The sequence below is a fragment of the Homo sapiens genome, chromosome 10, assembly GCF_000001405.40.
Source record: "Homo sapiens chromosome 10, GRCh38.p14 Primary Assembly".
NCBI classification, from domain to species: Eukaryota; Metazoa; Chordata; class Mammalia; order Primates; family Hominidae; genus Homo; species Homo sapiens.
The window spans coordinates 118,675,985-118,695,386 of NC_000010.11; the positions used below are offsets into that span (position 1 = coordinate 118,675,985).

General features: G+C 38.3%; 1 protein-coding gene across 1 annotated transcript in view; it reads right to left on the reverse strand.

Moving 5' to 3' along the window:
- Positions 1 to 426: 426 nt before the first annotated feature.
- Positions 427 to 19,402, reverse strand: part of CACUL1 (CDK2 associated cullin domain 1) — a 78,560-nt gene continuing 59,584 nt past the window's right edge. The window contains exons 6-9 of the mRNA NM_153810.5: positions 19,157 to 19,246; positions 15,281 to 15,419; positions 10,614 to 10,657; positions 427 to 10,184 (exon numbers count right to left, since the gene is read on the reverse strand). Coding sequence (NP_722517.3) covers positions 10,144 to 10,184; positions 10,614 to 10,657; positions 15,281 to 15,419; positions 19,157 to 19,246 — 314 coding nt within the window. The 3' untranslated portion in view covers positions 427 to 10,143. The remainder of the gene's footprint in view (positions 10,185 to 10,613; positions 10,658 to 15,280; positions 15,420 to 19,156; positions 19,247 to 19,402) is intronic.

The following is a 19,402-nucleotide window of genomic DNA, read 5'->3' on the forward strand; positions in this document are numbered from 1 at the left end:
TCTTACACAAAAGCATCTTGACAACAGTTTATAATGAGATGAGGAAATTAAACCCTCAAATTTGCCGGTTATCTCATAGCAAAATTCTTAAATATGGTATTTTTTTAATTGATAAAAAGACTTGAATGTGCCAATCTTTCCTGTGGTGACAAGTGTCTGTAATCAATATGCAATCTAGAAAGTATTTTTTTAAATGGACAGATTTAAACTGACCCTTCAAGGTAAAGATAACATTTAATACTAACGATGACCGAGCAAGAATTCATGAAAATGTGTTGCCAAAAATTGTCACCTATAAAAACTCTTCAAAGTGTACACTTAAACTTGGGAAATGAAATTCAAAAATAAGTTACAGCAGGTTTTGAACCCATCTGTTAGCAAAAATAAAAATGCAACACTCCTAATTATTCAGCAAAAACAAGTTACTGACATTGGAAAAGATGAAAATTTATTATAAAAATTTCAACAACACACTTTTGCAAAATTGGTGGATGGAACTCAAAAATATTTTCAGTAAGCACAGCCATATTTGGATCCACAGATCTTAATTAATGAAGTGACTTATTCAGCTACAATAGTCATTAAAACCAAGCATGAAAATAAACTTACCTTAAGAACATTAAGTTGTTTTTATAAAGTGTTAAAACTAGGAGTTTCAAAAATGACAAGCATTTTTAATCATGACTCTCTCTAAAAGAACATTTTTTTAGAAAGAGCAAAGGTTTATTAACCACAAATACCACAAACAATATTTTAAAACATTTTTACTTCATCTTTTTGATTTTCTACTTTTGCTTTATATGTATTGGTAACATATGTTCAAATTTAAACATTTTAAAATATATATGTCTATGTACACACACACACACACACACACACACACACACACTGGGGTGTGCACACTACGGCATTAAAGGCAGGTGAGTGAGTTTAATAGGGTTTTCGGTTTCATTGCTTGTATTCTTAGAAAAAACTTCTCCAATCCCAAGAAAAAATACTACTTTCTAGTTTTTACAACATTTTTTTCTTTTTTAGTTCACAATCTGGAATTTCTCTTGGTGAATGGTATGATAGGAATCAGTTTAATGTTCTCTAATTATACCAGCACCTTTCATAAAATAATTGACCATGGACAGCATGATTTCAAAAAGCCGCCTTTAGTGTACTCTAAATTCTAAATTTGAGTTTTCTATTTTCTAAATTACCTTCCATTGACTTATCTGTTTACCCTGGCATAAGTCTTTTAATTTAATTGCACTTAGAAAGTGATTTTTTTTGGTACAGCAAGTTCCTTCCATTTTCTTCACTTTCAATGGGGATTTTCCTATTTTCATCTGTTTATACTTCCATGAGTTTTTTAGATTATATAAATACTGTTGGTTATCTGAATTGGCTTTACACTGAATATACATTAACTCAGAGAACTGGCATGTTTAGAATGGTCCAAACGTTCATATTATGAAGTGCTTCCAAGTCCCCGTTCTCCCCTCTGTTCTCATTCCCCTCCACCACCCTCTCCTGAGGAAACTATGTTCCTGAATGTTAATAACTGTCTTTCCTTTATAGCTTTACTACTTGTGTCTGAGTCCCTAAACAATATACTTAGTTTTTTCTGATTTTGAACTTTACATAAAGGTACCCATGCTGGCTCTATTCTGACTTCACTCAATGATTTCTGAGATGCATCCATGTTGAAGCCCGCAGTGGTATGATGCCTTGACCACTCTAGAGAATTCCACAGCATACACTTCATTTATTCACTGTATGCTAGATGGGCATTTGGCTCCCTCCTTCATTCCTTTTAATTATTACACATAATGCTGTTATAAACATCCCTGTATACGTTTCTTGGTACACATGCACATGAGTTTTTCTAAGTATAAATAGTGGGCTATTAAGAGGTGCCTATGCTCAATTTCATTAGATAATACTGTTCTCCAAAGTAGAAGTGCAGATTTACACGCCAACAACAGGTGAAGGTTTGTTGTCATAAACTCTCAGATTGTTATTTTCAGACTTCTCATAATTTCTGCCAAGTTGTCAGCAAGGAAATGGTATCTATGCTTTTAATGTGCATTACCTGACGACTAATGAGGCTGAACATCTTTTCACATTTATGGGCCATTTCTGTTTCTTCTGTGAAATGCCTGCTAGTGTTTGGGGTCCGTCTCTCCTGAGTTGTTTTCATTGCTGATTTGCATTCAGGTGCTCTTTAGCAGTTATATTATGAATATTTGTATCTTATTCCAGATTTGGCTTCTCTTTTCACTCTACAGCATGTTTGGTAATAAGTACTTACAATCAATGGTAGCCAAATTACTTATCTACTGATAGTCTGCATTTTCTATCTTGTTGATGAAATTCTTCCCTACTCCAAAGTCATTGTTTTAATCACTACCTTTGGCAGTAAGTGTTAGAATCTTGTAGTGCTAGTTCCCCTCACAATCCATTCAGAAAGGTCTTGGATATCCTTGGCCCTTTGCTCTTCCATTTATATCGACGAATCAAATTGTCAGGTTCCACAGTGAAAATCATTGGGAATTTTTTTGGAATTGCAATTTGGAGAAAAAGTTGAGATTTAGATAATATTGAGTGTTATCCCTTATATTCTCTACACTTATTTAGGTCCATTAAGTTTTTTTTTTATCATTTTCTCATTTTAAAATTTATTCTTAGGTACTTTTTCTTGTCCTATTATAAACAGCATTTCTTAATTACATTAAAAAGCCAATCTTGTATTCCTGAGACCAATCCATTTTGGTCATCATTTGTTACATTTTGAATACACTGTTAGACTTGGTTTGCAAAAACTTATTTTCCTACTGAAGGGTACAATGTGTTTTATGTATGTGTGTGTTATGTATCTGTCAGATCAAATTGATTAGCTGTACTATTTAAATCTTCTATGTCCTTAATAATCTTCATAATTTAGTCTCTGCAAGATCTATTAATTACTGAGAGGGGTATGTTGAAAATGCCCATTATGTTGGTAGACTGACCTATTTCTCTTTGTAGTGTGTTCATTTTTCCTTTTTGTAGTTTTCTTTTAACTTTTTAAATATTTTTCTCGACAGGGTCTCACTCTGTTATCCTAGCTGAAATGCAGTGGTATCATCATAGCTCAATGCAGCCTCAAACTCCTGGGCTCAAGCAATCCTCCTGCCTCACACCTTAGCCTCCAAATAACTAGGACTAAAAGCAGGTACCACCACGCCCAACTTTTTTTGTGTTTTTTTGAGACAGAGTCTCGCTCTGTTGCTCAGGCCAGAGTCCAGTGGTGTGACCTTAGCCCACTGTAACCTCCACTTCCTGGGTTCAAGTTCTTGTGCCTGAGCCACCCAAGCAGCTGGGATTACAGGTGTATGCCACCATGCCTAATTTTTTTTTAATTTATTTTTATTTTTTATTTTTTGTAGAGACAGGGTTTCACCATGTTAGCCAGGCTGGTCTCGAGCTCCTGGCCTCAAGTGATCCACCTGCCTCAGCCTCCCAAAGTATTGACATTACAGGCAAGAGCCACTGTGCCAGGCCCAACTTTTTTTGTTTTTTGCTTGAGATAGTTTCACTCTTGTCGCCCAGGCTGGAGTACAATAGTGCAATCTTGGTTCACTGAAACCTCTGCCTCCTGGGTTCAGGCGATTTTCCTGCCTCAGCCTCCCGAGTAGCTGGGATTACAGTCGTGTACCCCCACGCCCAGCTAATTTTTGTATTTTCAGTAGAGATGGAATTTCACCATGTTGGCCAGGCTGGTCTTGAACTCCTGACCTCAAATGATACGCCCACCTCAGCCTCCCAAAGGGCTGGGATTACAGGCGTGAGCCACCATGCTCGGCCCTAATTTAAAAAATTTTTTTGTAGAGATGGGGTTCTGTGTTACCCAGGCTGGTCTCAAATCCTGGCTTCAAGCAATCTTCCCACCTCAGCCTCTCAGTGTTGGGATTACAGGTGTGAGCCACTTTTTCTTTACATATTTTGAGGTATACTATTAGACATGTAGGTACATTACTAGAAAGTTTTGAATTGTTATGCCCTTCTGGCTTAACAATTTAGGGAGGGAGAGGGCTTAATAAAGGAAAACAGATTAAAAAAAAAACCTACTCAAGACTACAGCTAGTTAAGCTAGTTGCTCTCAGGTTCTATTAATATGTGTGATATTCATTCTACTATCATGCTTTTTGATATTCAAGGTATTTTAGAATTTTAGATAATTGAGAAACAGGCCAATCGAAGAAATAAAATTCACACATATACACACACACACACAGAGCTGGTTCTAGTAGAAAAGGTTTGTACTTAGTAAAAAACAAACCTGCTAAAAGGGAAAGAGTTTAAATGACACCCTACTTAACTGTGGGGCAGGGGAGTGAAAATGGAAATTGTCAGAGTCACTGAATTCTGCCACATGTGATAACCAAAAAGTAGATAACATCACAACAGAGCTGAGGTCAAAAAAATGGAAGGGATGAGAACTGGCATTCTGACAATACTGTAGGAAAGGACACCTCTACAGAGATAGCAAGAGAAACTAAAACCTTAAAGTAAGGTTACAAATAACCTAGGGGATGACACTAATTTCATAGCAAGAAAACACAAAGGGTTATAAAAAAGCATAGTACCAATAAATGCAAAGAAAAAAACAACCTAAGTCCAAAAGTTGATTAAAGGTCCACAGAAGAAACTGTACAGTGTTTAAAAAACAAAAACTACAAATATACTGATATCCGTATCCATACTATATATGAATATAGAATAGATATGACCATATGTATATTGTTACACACTGTTTTTTAGCACTGGTTGCAGAAGTCAAGATCAACACTCACCCTGCAGGCTAAGTAACTGTGGTAACAGATGTGTGCTCAGTGTGGCTGTCATGTAGGAGGCAATATTAATATGCTATAAGCAAAATCAAATATTCTATATTATAACAAAGTTCCAGTGAACCAGGTATTAAGGCCAAGGACATCTGTACAGGATTTATAACATAACATAACAAGGCCAACGACATCTGTACAAGATTTATTTCATTTACCACAATGTTTTAGAGTGAAAGTATATGCCCTAATACAGAAGGAGTGATTCAGAACCCACCAAAAGATCAAGAGCCAAAGTCAGTGGCTTTGTATCCCAGGTCAATAGGAGTTTCATCCGCCATTTTGTTTTTCTTGGATTAAAGAGATGATGTGCAGAACGCCCTGTGCTGAGCTCACTATGGCTTCTGACATACAAGCACCACTAGGAACAAGACTTCATTGCTTCATCCTTGCTCTGGCTGTGCTAGTGAGTGGCAAAAGCCTCTTGCTCGTGCTTGCCCTCCAAATTTTTCATAAGCATTCCTGTTACTAGCCATAGCTTCCCATGACTTCACATTTGAGTAAGTTATCCTGAAGTGTGTGGCTGTAATATTGACAAATAGAACTAATGAGAGTGAACTGCCATCTGTTTAACAAAACGCACTCTTCTAAGAGAATACCCAGTCTTAGTGCATTTAGTACATAGTCACAACATTGAAATGACGTGAGAATCAATACAAAATATTTATTTTTTTTCAAACCACAGAATTCTTAACCCCAGAGCCACACAATAAAGTTCTCAGAATTGTAAGCCATTAACATTTTTCTAAACAATGCAGTCCAGAGATGAAGATAATTTCCAACCAGCAGGGATGCAATATATAGTAGGTTCCCCTATGAATGAAGCTCAAATTAGCATTTCCTTTAATTCTCCCACAGCCACTCCATCAACAGAAGCAGAAACAGTACACATATTCATGCCACTCGGCTCTGAAAAGAGGTTCAAGGTGGGTCAAGGTGGGTCTTGGCCAGTGGAGGAAGGAAGGTGTCCAGGACTTTAGTTAATCAACAGTGGGGACAGAGAGGAATGATTTCCCTTGGAAAACAACAGGGTTCCTTTCTCATATTCTTGTGGCCAGAAACTGGGGTGAACTTCAGTGGGGTAATGAAAGAAACAGGAGAGCCATTTCTCCAGGAACTCCTATGACCTCCATTTTAACTTCTGACAAAGTTAACTTCATTTATACAATCGTATTGAAAACAGTAATCACAACCAAAAAGGTCCTATAAACCTGTAATAGATGTCAAAGGGATTCACATTCTGAACTTTAATTTTAAGGACCCTTTAAAAGGCCTAGACTTGGATTAAAGTAAACGTAATATTCCAAGCTAAAAGAGGCACCATAAAAAATCAACTCAAAACATCCAAACAATGGCTAGATGACTAATGTAGGTTGTTTTGCTTTTTAGTTGCAAAGCTTTTCAGTATCTCAGATTAGTGTATGTTCATAAAACAATGCTCAGTTATTTTAATAGCTGCTTATGAAACAATAACAGTTTAACTCAAGGGCAATGCTTCTTGCATAATAATCACAAAAATAATTAACTGCTATAAAACGGGAAAAAAAGTAGAAGAAAATAAAGCCAGCCTCAATAATAAAAAGGCAAAATCTGGAGGGGTTACTCGGCTTAAAAAGAGATTAACCAGGATTATTTAAATACTATAATACAAGTGCTCCTGCTCACTTCTAACTGCAGAAACCAATTTTGTTTGCTAGATCACCATTACCTTTGCTAGTATGCGTACAGACCACCACTCGGAAGTTATCCTTTTGTGCTGAAAAACGTTCAAATCCCTTGTTTGGTCAGTACAGAATATTGCGAGGTGATGCTCATGCAAACTCTTCCTGAGGAATTTATGTGTGCAAATCTGCAACCCGACAGCATGGCACGCAGCCAGGGAGTGGTAGCTGCACAGTGTGAGCACTGGAGATGGATGTGCAGTGTGCAGTGTTCACAGCCATGGACATCCATTCTTCTGCAATCTCATCTACCCACAAATTAGCTTTCACTCTAGACCCCAAAGGGAGGGTAATTGCTGCAAATTTGTTAAAGGGACAGAAGAAAAAGTAGCTTGTCTACAAAATAATGCACAATGCATGCATCTGGGTTTGTGTTTCTTCTCACTAACCTTGCCTAAGAACCATTAGGATAAAAGTCACAACACCAGGTTTTGCTTTCTGCCCCACAAAAAAACAGTAGTTAATTCCTGTCAGGTTAGGGTACAGGTGTGACAACAAAAGGTCACAAAATGACAATGTTACTGAAGCTTAAGGCCAACCTTTAAAACATGTACCGTCTCTCAAAACAATTATCGATTTACTTTTACATGTCATTTTTTCAAGATGACTGACCCGGCTTTCCTTTTAAGGAGCCAGTTTCAGGCTGCACATACATACTAGACAGTTGAAGCAAATCAGCCATTGACTAACCAGACAACCAGCCTGCATGTACGGTTTTGTATCTTCAATGATTTGGGCCTTTAGTGATGTGGTACAAAACCCAGTATGTAATTGGGGTAGAAAAACCATATACTGTACTGGCAAGAATACAAAAAAAAAAAAAAAAAAGGCCAGGTGCAGTGGCTCACACCTATAATCCCAGCACTTTGGGAGGCCGAGGTGGGTGGATCACTTGAGGTCAGGAGTTCAAGACCAGCCTGACCAACATGGTGAAACCCCGTCTCTACTAAAAACAAAATACAAAAAGTAGCCGGGCGTAGTGGCACGTGCCTGTAATTCCAGCTACTCAGGAGGCCGAGGCAGGAGAATCACTTGAACCCAGGAGGCAGAGGTTGCAGTGAGCTGAGATTGCACCACTGCACTCCAGCCTGGGTGAGAGAGTGAGACTCCATCTCAAAAACAAAATATAAGAAAACAGAAGAAAACAGTTTCTGGCAAACAGTCAATATAAAATGAGAGGAAGGAGGAGGAAATCTTATTTCCTCTCATACTGCAAACTCACTCAGAATTTTTTAGAATCCCAATAAATAAGCAAAGTCTATTTCAACTTAAACAGGTCCTTCAAACTGTGATGTGCCTCAAGGGGCCAAGATGATTAACAGCCAGGACATGTAGACTGGGAGACTATGTACAACCTTTCTATAGTGACTTCCAGTCAAGGTTTTGTTGTATTAAGAGCTGACCCATAGCCAGCTGCAGTCACTGTGCAAAAATTTAGAGAAACTAAATTTTGCAAACTTTACTTTGCCCACTTTTTATTAATACATACATAGTAAAAAGAATATATTTCTCCATGAACTTAATAATGCAAAAGCATCCAAAGATTTTAATGCCAATTCACATTATACTGTGATGCTTTTATAGGGAAAGTTCTTTTGTAAAAGAATGCTCTCTCCCAGAAAAAGCATTTGGGTATATTATTAGGATACTGAAGAATTTCTCCACATTTAGAAACATTCCAATTTTATTCCTTTCAGAAAAATTATTAATACCACTCACTCAGACTTCAGTTCTAGGTGTGATTGGTAAGCCTGAAGCAAGCATTCCATTGAGAAAAGTAAAATGTGAATGTCATGATGAATGGAATTCTCCTTGATACTAGAATGTTACCAGTGTAGCAACTTAAACTGTCCAGGTCATAGTGAGAGCCTGTCTATGTTCTTACAGTAATTCAGTGTTCATCGATGCAATCCAGGATGCTCACAGAGTGAATTGAGTCCAATTAAAGTCCACAAAATCCACGAACTCTGGTTAAGTACTTTAAAAAATAAATCTGACAACCTTTATCTTTACTTCTCTGTATAACAGTTTTACAAATCAAGGACTTCAATTATTGGGTGACTTACTTGCTCCCAATATCCCACTTCTAACTCTCCCACCCACACCACTCCCCCCAAAAAATAAACTGAATTGGCAGAGGCAGCTGTATGAAGAACCTGCAGAGCAGACATGCGACAGCATCCCTGGGATGTTTCTTTTCCCCTCAAGTTCTCTGAAGAGGTAAATACTATTAGTCTGATGTTGCCTAGTAGAGAAGCCTATGCTCAATTAAGATTCAAGCAAAATTGAGAAGAAAAGTATTTTTCTCTTGCCACATCTATTTTTCTTGGGCTTTCAACAACAGCTAGAATAAGCTTCAGAAACTTTTATGATGGACTAAAAAGCACTGTGGATGTGGAGAAACAGAAATATAGCTTTGCCACAGCTGGAAGGGAGCCTTAGGACAGCAGTGCTACTTCTTCCCTATCACACTCAAATATAATGTTCAAATGACAGACTTTTTTTAAGTAATTATCTCATTCATTTAAAATGAAGTGATCAGGAACCCCACACCACTGTGTATTTGGACTTAATAACTGTATCTGCTTCCTAGAGCATCGCAGGAAGTAGCTCTCAATAATACTAAGGGAAGCTTCCGTGCTAAAGTACCGCCCATCCCTAAACTAGAGTACTGCCAATACTATAGCAGCTGGTGACAGACATCGTGTTAAGTGGCACAGGGAATGGAAATGCTCTAGGAGAGTTGGTCCCCAACATTAATATGAATATGCTCTGGTGAACCAGGGGAAAATCCGACCCATGTGCAAAAGGTTTCTATTTTCCCACTTAATTAGCATCCTGCTACAGGGCCACACCTGCCATCTTGGTGGGTGAGTTTAGATACCATACACTTCTCCAGGAGGAGTTTGACAACATGGTCACACAGTTGCAAAGTGCACAAAGCTCAAGGCACAGAGTAGAAGAAAGTTGTGAACTGATGGGGGAAAGTTCTAGCAAAAGCAGAGTTAGCATTTTCCTTTAACAAGACTTTCTAATGCTAAACAAAGACCAACTCTTTTAAAAGGGGTTGTTTTGGTTGTGGGTGAAAAATACTGTACTGTAATGATCTGCTTGGTTTTAAAGCAAAAGAGATCCTGACATGTGAAACCAATACACCAAAATGCCAAGTCCACAAATGAACAAAACAAGTGCTTAAAAAAAAAATTCTTCTGCTCTTATATTTTTGGAGGAAGCTGCTGATTTTGGCTGTCAGATTTCACTTAGAAATGGTCACTTTCTGAGATGCTTTTTCCTCACAGAATCTGTAGATAAACTCATTAAAAGATTGTCCCATTTCAAAATCACCCCCAAGTCTAGCAGCAACGTTTTTTTTTTTTTTAGTTTTTGTTTTAAAATTACAAACCAAGTAAGAAGTCCAACATCCTCTTCCATGAACAGCTTTGTGACAGAGCTCCTGAGTGTGTGCAGCCCCCACTGTGCTCTGAATACAGTCTCTGCAGCTCCAGTGTGTCCTCTTTTCAGGAAGGAAAGCATATTCAATACATTCACTATCTGTACCCCCTGGAACTTGCACATGCTGACGAGCTATCTGAAAAAACATCAGAATAGGAAAAAGTATGAAGAGCAGACAGCATTTGATAACAGCAGGAATCTGTTTATTCAACACACATTTCTCACTCCTCTCCCAACTCCCCAAAAAAGGCTTAAAAAAAATCCTCAAAACCATGTGGGGTGGAGGGAAGTAAAAGGGGACTGAGAACCTAAGGAACTGGGACTGGGCTACGATGTCATCCCAGTAGAAACTAAAGAACCTGGTGGCCTCTTTCCAATGCCCTGAGAACCATCGCTACCAGCTGGAGCTGCCACAGCATGCAAAGCATCCTGACCTTGATTACAAGCAGTGCCTTATGAGAACAACATGGGTATCATCAAATTCAATGCACTGTTATCACAGTGCATTAATATGGCTGCTTTACATCACAGAACCATCAAGATGGGAAGGAACATCATTACTTACTATAAGCCAACTCATCCCCAGCTCTCTTCCGGGACTGGTCACCCCTGGGGATAAGAAGAGGCAGTCAACAAAACTGACTTCACATCAAAACAGGAGGAAAGGATCAACATATTTGATAATAAAAGTATAGCAGACATTTCAGTTCTAACCAAACCTATTTAAAAATACATATTAAACATCTTAGAATCCTGATGTACCTCACTATGCTTTCTGCAGATGGAAGAACATGAGCCTTTACCTGTATTAACCAGTTCATCCTCAAACACCTATGAAAGTTCTAATTCCACTTTAGAGTTAAGAAAATAGAGGTTCTGACTAGGCCCTAAGCTACCTACAAATCCTATTTTTGTGTCTCCAGCTTCTCAGACAATAACAGAAATGACTCAAATGCTTAGGTAATGAGAAATAATAATCACTACTAGCCTTTCTTCCTCAGCATTTATAAGTTGATTTCTTCCTGAAACACGATTTTTTTCTCTTTAGGTTTCAGTAATGCCACAGCACACATTCCTGACCTTACCTCACCCTGTCTGCCATCCTTTTGAGGTCTCCTTTGCTGGCTCTACCCAGCCCTCTGTCGCTGGTCATCTTTTCTTCTCCACGTGTAGTCCAGGATGGTGATCATACACTCTCTCCACAGGCCAGAGGCTCCCATATCTACATCTCCAACTCTGCCTTCCTCTCTACGCTTCAGATCTACAGGTCCAACTCCTCATCACCATGTCCATTTGGATGATTTATATACACTGGCAAGTTTACCATGACCAGAATACAATGCTGACTCCAATCCATCCCCATTCCTTCTTCAATCTTCCAGCTTGATCACTCAACCCAAAATCCTTGGTCATCCTCTCTTTTCCTCATTCTGGGGCATTCTGTCCCAAAACCAATCACTCCTCATCAACTCCACTGCTATGATCCCAAGCCAAGCCACAGTCTTCTCTTCCCTACACAAGTACATGAGCCTTATTTATCAACCCAGATGAGAGCCAGAGTGATCTCATGTAGAAGACAGATTAGTTCATGCCTCTCATGAAAGCCCTTCAGTGGTTTCCCACTACAGTTAAAAATTAATTCCAACCCATTCTCCAGCCTACTCTCCCACCTCACTTTCCTCCACTCTCTGCCTCTGTTCACTATAAGTCAGCCATCCTGGCTCACTGGCTGTCCCTTGCATGTCAGCACTTTACTACTTACTGTCCACTCATAGGACTTACTACTCAATATTATTTTTTTTTTACATGTTTGTTGTTTGTTATTTGCCTCCCAACATCAGAACATAAGTTCCATGAAAACAGGAACTTGGCCTGTGTTGTTCACCCCACTGCCTAGAAGAGTATAGACAATAAATATTTGTTGAATTGACAAAGTAGTAACTTGTAAATAGTCTCATGGATAAATTATTAAAATGCTAACCAAGGTGATTTATTTCCTGCTTTTGAATAATTTTCCAGATAAAGTTTCCCATTTACTTTCTCTGGTTATGTTGAGGACCAGGGCAGAAACCTCTTGCTAAGCTAGGTAAGGAGCCTCAACTGACCGGCAGAAAGAGTACACACTGTATGACCTCTGAAGGGTTTTTCTGTAGGCACCACATTCAGCACAAATTAGCTTCCACAGCCAAAAGAGCTCTAACAGGCCGGCCCTCAGGCCACTTTTTAAACACCTCTGTAGTCAACACTACACCTAGCCAAAGCCAAGTGAGTGTCTTCCGTTGTTATTCACACTAGTATCATCACAGTTGCATTCACCAAATATTCTGAAACAAACAAGTTAATGATCAAAAAGGAAGACAGAATTTTATATCTGGAACCTCGACTTATAGACACAACCTTCATTTCCATTCCTCAAAGGTTAAATAAAAACTGAACATGTAAATATAACAGGAGAAAAATACAGACGTGAAAACAACTGGAGGCAGGAAAAGGAGTATCAATGTGATTTATGCAAGAGGCTGCTGAAGAGATTAAGTCCGGAACGCTCTCTCAAAACCCTTACTACAAAATAAAAAAGCCCAAATTTCGGCGTCACCTGCTCAGCTAAAAGACCTATGTTCTTACCTTGGTTACTTAGATCTAGTAGTTATCTTCTGTAGTGTTACCGTTGACAACAGATACCAAACTTCCACCCCTCGCCAATCAATTCAATTATGTAGGTAAGAGATAAAAAGAAGCTGTTGCTTTTAGCTTATGTGTTAATTCCAGCCTACCCTATATTTCCATGCACCTAACAATTACAATTCACAAAAATTCCAGCTCAAATGAGAATCCACTAACTGCAAAAAAGGATGTATTTGACAACAGTCACTTTATTTTAAAACAATTCAAAGACTTACTCTGTGCCATCCACATTAAAGCTGTTTGTTGCCTACTCAGGATCACTACATCACTTAAGTTCATCTTACATGAAAAAGTGCCCATAACAATGAACAGGAATCACGTGGTTGGTTAGGCATAAACCATAAAATGACTGCTCAGATAAGAAGAGGCAGAAACAGAATTCTTAAGACAGGCTGTACTATATTCTCCTTTTCTGGGGGCATCAGTAGACACCACTTCTTCTAAAATATTATTCCTAATTAAGGCATTAAGTTGGACAGGACAGAATGTGGAAGGTCCATGCACAAGAGCAGAGGCAGGCTCCCCATCACAGCTGCCAAAGGTGGCATGTGCACGTCCTTCCTGGCCAGTATGAGTAAGCTCAGAATTACATATGAGAACGTCCACTTTGGCGGACTTACTCTGTGCAAAGCACCTGTCAGAATACTTTTATGAGGCAAAGTTTAATCCTCATAGCACATGTATAATAAAGTTTAATTACAAAAATGGTCTAATTAAGTTTGTAAAAACATTTTATCATCCCTTGGAATACTGCCTAGTATTTAAATCCAGCCAGAAGTTTTATAAAATAATTCCACTTAGAGACAAAAATTCCTATTTATACCAAAAATTCAAGACATTTCCCTGAATATAACCAAACTGGCCAGTGGCTGAATAGTGCCATGTTTGTCCTTCATGTGCAGACACAATGCAACCTGAGGTTATTTACAGAGGCAGTTACTCATCTCATCCCAAGCAAATCTGACATAAGAGCTACTATAAACCAAGCAGTCCTGCACCCTGTTCTCTTATTCCAGTACCAAAATTAGGATTAGAAAAATGGGCACGTTTAAGCAATTCCATGCATTGCTCTGGAAGGCAAACTCAATATGCTCAAAATTCACAAGAGCTATATTCCTATACTGCTTCACAAAAAAGTTTTCAGAAGGCTGTCTTTTTAAAGGTATAAACTCATCCTAAATTAAGAGCAAATGTTCAAATAAAACATGAATGTATGAAAGTATAAAGACTTCAGAATTATGGTAAGCCTAGAAAAAAACCTATAACATCATACTCAGATTATTTTGCATTTATTTAAGAATACTGGGCCGGGTGCAGTGGCTTACACCTGTAATCCCAGCACTTTGGGAGGCCAAGTGTATCACTTGAGGTCAGGAGATCGAGACCATCCTGGCTAACAAGGTGAAACCCCGTCTCTACTAAAAATACAAAAAATTAGCCGGGCGCGGTGGCGGGCGCCTGTAGTCCCAGCTACTCGGGAGGCTGAGGCAGGAGAATGGCGTGAACCCGGGAAGCGGAGCTTGCAGTGAGCCGAGATTGCGCCACTGCAGTCCGCAGTCCGGCCTGGGCGACAGAGCGAGACTCCGTCTCAAAAAAAAAAAAAAAAAAAAAAAAGAGTAAGGATTATAAAAATGGAAGCTATTACTGTGACCTTAAATGATTTGCTGATACAGGCTATTTTCTCATGGGGAATCACAAAAATTGTATTAAAATGTATTTTAGTTGAAAAATGCACTCTGCAAGATTTTTTGGGATATGACCACGTTAATTAAGCGCAAAAACTTTAGAAAAATTATCAAAACCAAGAAAGGTAAATAAAGAGATGCCCTACTTAAGAAGAAACCACTAGAATTTAGGGCAAAAGGGGAAGTATGAAATACAGAATTTAAAGCCTCTATGCTAGGTTAGTCATAAAAGTACATTATAACAGATCATAAAAGTTCTATATGCACAGGACTAATACAAGAAAATCAAAGTTGAAAGAGCTCCTGGAGCTTGCCCACCTAACTGCTCACCCAGTGGGAAATCCCTTCTTCAAAATGTATGGGCCGGGCATGGTGGCTCATGCCTATGATCCCAGCACTTTGGGAGGCCTAGGCAGGCGGATCACTTGAGGTCAGGAGTTTGAAACCAGCCTGGCCAACATGGTGAAACCCCATCTCTACTAAAAATACAAAACAATTAGCCAGGTGTGGTGGTGGCACACGCCTGTAATCCCAGCTACTTGGGAGGCTAAGGCAGGAGAACTGCTTGAACCCAGGAGGTGGAGGTTGTGGTAAGCCGAGATTGTGCCACTGCATTCCAGCCTAGAAAACGGAGCAAGACTCCATCTCAAAAACAAAACGTACGTAATGAAGAGCAGCTTCCACAAAATCAAAACCTAGCTTCAACATTTCTACAGACAAGGAGCTAATGTCTTCTTGCAGCAGCAAGACTCTTGGCCAGTTACCTCCCATTCTCAGAACCTTACCATTTCTCCCATGTCAAGCCAGACTGGCCTAGGGAAATGGACATATTTGACCACTAAAGGAAAAAAAAACAACTTGCCTTGTAAAACCATTCTGTATAAGTTCTCTTTGAAATTTCTGATCTTGAGCAGCATATTCAGAAAGTTCAGATTCCACCGCCGGAGGGAGAATGTTTGGAATAAATTTAGAAAATAGAGTTGGAGCCATCTGAACCCACTCTGTGAGGAAAGGAAACAATTCATTAAGGAAATCATATAAACACACCAAATTAAATGGAAAAGGGAAAGTTTTCTTTTAAAATATATAGTAAGCCAAATTTAAGCAGGGGAAAAAATTAGTGCAATCCCATTCTGGTAAAGAACATACAAAGTTAAATTTCCCTTCTAAAAAGAATTTTACAGGCCGGGTGCGGCGGCTCACACCTGTAATCCTAGCACTTTGGGAGGCCGAGGCAGGTGGATCACGAGGTCAGGAGATCGAGACCATCCTGGCTAACATGGTGAAACCCCATCTCTACTAAAAATACAAAAAATTAGCCAGACACGGTGGCGGGCACCTGTAGTCCCAGCTACTCAGGAGGCTGAGGCAGGAGAATGGCGTGAACCTGGGAGGCGGAGCTTGCAGTGAGCCGAGATCGCACCACTGCACTCCAGCCTGGGCGACAGAGCGAGACTCCGTCTCAAAAAAAAAAAAAAAAAAAAAAAAGAAAAAGAATTTTATAGTATGAAGAAAGCCATTTTTACTTTACTGATTTAACAGAATTTAGTGAAAACCCCTAGGGAATTTTTGAACAAATCTTACAGAAAATTATAAGTATGGAGGAAAACATGAATGTGATTACCAAACAATTCTGAGTGGGAGGGGACTTGGTGTAAATATCAGCCTTATTAGCCATTAATTAAAACAATATATAGCCCAAGAATAGAACAGTACAAATAATAAGTAGACATATTTAAAAAAAGAGGCAGCACAAAAGGTAGGAGGGACTGAACGTTTAATAAGTGGGCTGGAGGTAACTGGTTAGTACTTTGAAAATATTTTTTGAGCCATGTTCAATTACAGCAAATATATATAAACAACAGTAAAAAAAAAAGTGGTTATCAAATCATTTTTTAAAAGCTCAGGAGACTATAGAAAATAAGGCAAAGAAGTCACAAGAAAACACTTGCACCAGATATGACAAAGATGAATTAGTATCTTTATTATAACGAATATGTACAGATCAGTAAGACCAGATAAATGAGTGAAAGAACCTATAATAATAGAAACAGAATAGCCCTGTTAATATTTAAAAAAATTCAAGCTAAAATAAATATACTCTCTCCTTTTTATTCAGTGAACATTAAAGAGAATTAACACCCACCTGTATCAAGGGCATGGGGAAACCAGTATTTCCCTTCCTTGGTGGTGGTCCTCAATTAACACTATTACTCATTTTGAATTGTTTTAATCTAGCCCTTTTACATTTTTCCTCTTGGAAAACATTTTGGCTACACATGTCAAAAACTATAAAAATATTAATGCTCTTGAATCACTTTAAAAACGATAATCTGAGTAAATGATTATAAATCAGAAAAAGCCACGCTTGATGCTGTGGAACATTTGCTCTGTGGTAAGTAAAAAAGTAGAAGTTAATAAAACGTCTAACAGGAGAATAGCTAATTAAAGCTGGCAAATAAGCACTGCAAATGATACAAGGACCAATCCATTCAGTCACGCCTTGGGAGAAACTCGTGGCAAAATGCTTCCCTCCTTCCAGTCCAGCTCAAATATGGCTTCACTAAGAGTCTCAATACAGTGCTACAGAGAACCACTAATCAGTCACAGCTGGCAAAGTCAAACCCATCTGCCACAAAATAAAGATGAAGAAACAAAGTGTGTGTATTAAATGAAAACGGGCAGAATAGGATTGCTGGAACTATTTCTAAAGAATGGATGCCAAAAATGGTAAGTCATGAGAATCTCCAAGGATTACAGCCCAGGAATCTAGAGTTTAAAAAGCCTTCTTAAGTGACTCAGATGCAGTCATACAAAGACCAGCACTTGCGAACTACTGCAGTAGAACAAACTTTTGCTTTCAAAATTCAACTTTTAAAATATTCTAATCTTAATCTGTCAGGTGAATAAAATGGCTTTAATAAAGCAGGAACATAATGGGTACTGGCAAAACATGTAAATGTCAAAATATGTTTTCAAGTATCTCAGAAAATGTGCAGGGCAGCAAAAGGTTAGTATGTGATAAAATTCACCTTTTCAAAAGGACAATTCTCAAATATAGAATTCTCCTTACAAGTAGTATAAATCCTATTACAAGAGCTTGAACCTGGATAAAATAGCATTTAGATAAACATGTACCCACAATACTTTTCTACCTTTAGTGATAAACTTTATTTTGCAATTTTGTTACGTATGATAAAAGCCAGTGCTTATAAGCTGCCTACTTGGGAGGCAGAATTTGTCATACTGCACTTAGATGCTTTCAAAGGAAAAAAAATCATTCATAACCTGGTACACACACTATTTCAGGAGCCATCTTCATCACACTGCTGTAAAATTCTGAGAAACTAAATACAGAAAAGTATCAGTTTATTGGACATATGCAATAAAATCTTTACTACTTTATACAAGTAATTTCTGTTAAAAGTCACAGAAAGTAAAGCTCAAACCCTAGATCCAAATTTAACAATAAATTTGAATACTCTAGATGTCATTAATCATTTAAAGTAGCCTAAGGGTTTTGTTTTGTTTTGATGGAGTCTCACTCTATCGCCCAGGCTGGAGTGCAGTGGTACAATCAGCTCAGGAAGTAGCTGGGACTACAGGCGCCCGCCACCATACCAGGCTAATTTTTTCTATTTTTAGTAGAGACGAGGTTTCACCGTGTTAGCCAGGATGGTCTGGATCTCCTGACCTCGTGATCTGCCCGCCTCGGCCTCCCAAAGTGCTGGGGATCACAGGTGTGAGCCACCACACCCAGCCTAAGAAGGTATTTCTAAAATCAGTCTACCAGTACCAGTTTTCACTTGGTTTCCATTTTAGCTTGCTAAATTCTGACAGGTCGTTTAATTAAGCAAACAAGCCATCAATTAATTAAAATAACCATTAAACTCAAATGGATAGTAATAACAGCAGTGAATGTTTGCATGCTTATTATGTTATCAGGTACTGTGCGTTAAGCTCTTTATATCATGTTTTATTTCATTTAATCCTCAAACAACAAAAGAATTTCACAAAAAGGTAATTACTATCTAAAAAGCATTCCTTGTATTTATAGATTGTAGAACAACGTTCTATCCTGATAACTTTTGTAATCTCTCTCCCATGGACATTTATAAGTTGCTAGACAACTCTATGACAAGTTTGAGGTTCCGGCTTATAGAAAGATATATACAAAAGCTCCTTGGGATTCCTTTAAATTTATAATGTTTTATTCTAAGATAGAGAGACACATTAAGAATTTAAAAACCATGCTTTTGACTATAGTGATCTTTGGTATTTGCTTTGGTTCTTGTGATTGTCTCTCTCCCCAGAACATCCTTACAAAATGACTGTAACTTTACCAACACTTCTAGATTCTTCGCAAGTTACTTAACAGGCCTAAGAAGACGGGGTTGTGAATGTGGATGTCTGTAAGTATGTGCAGCGTGAGGCAGGAAGTAAAGAAGAAACTAAGACCAAACATGAGATTCAATTTTATCCAAAGTGTATCCTACAATTTATTTCTTGTATTTCCCTCACAGGTTCTGCAAAAACCACACTAGTTGGTTTCCACTAGCAGAGAACATTCCAACTGAGCTCTGAGTTTACATTTCACAATGATGAGTATCTACTCAATTTTTTTGCTCCAGCAAATCCAAGTACCATTAAGCCTCACAAAACACATACAGAACCACTGCCCTCTTGGAAAAGGCTGTAACAAACAGTTCCAATCCCAACAGAAATGAGAAATGTTTACCTGGTCTGAGGGTATACAGGCCTTTCACAATATTTGCCATAGTTGAAGGTGTGACCTGAAATGGTGTTGACTGGGCTTCTAAAAGTAAAGCTGAAATAAGAAAACAGGTTAAAAAGAATGTAACACATATTGACTGTCAAGATTTCTCTATTACTGTTTCTCCCAAAGACTCCTGAAACATAAACAATTGTAAGAAAGGAACAGTCCAATAAACCAATCAAATGTTTATATACTAAGGATTTTATT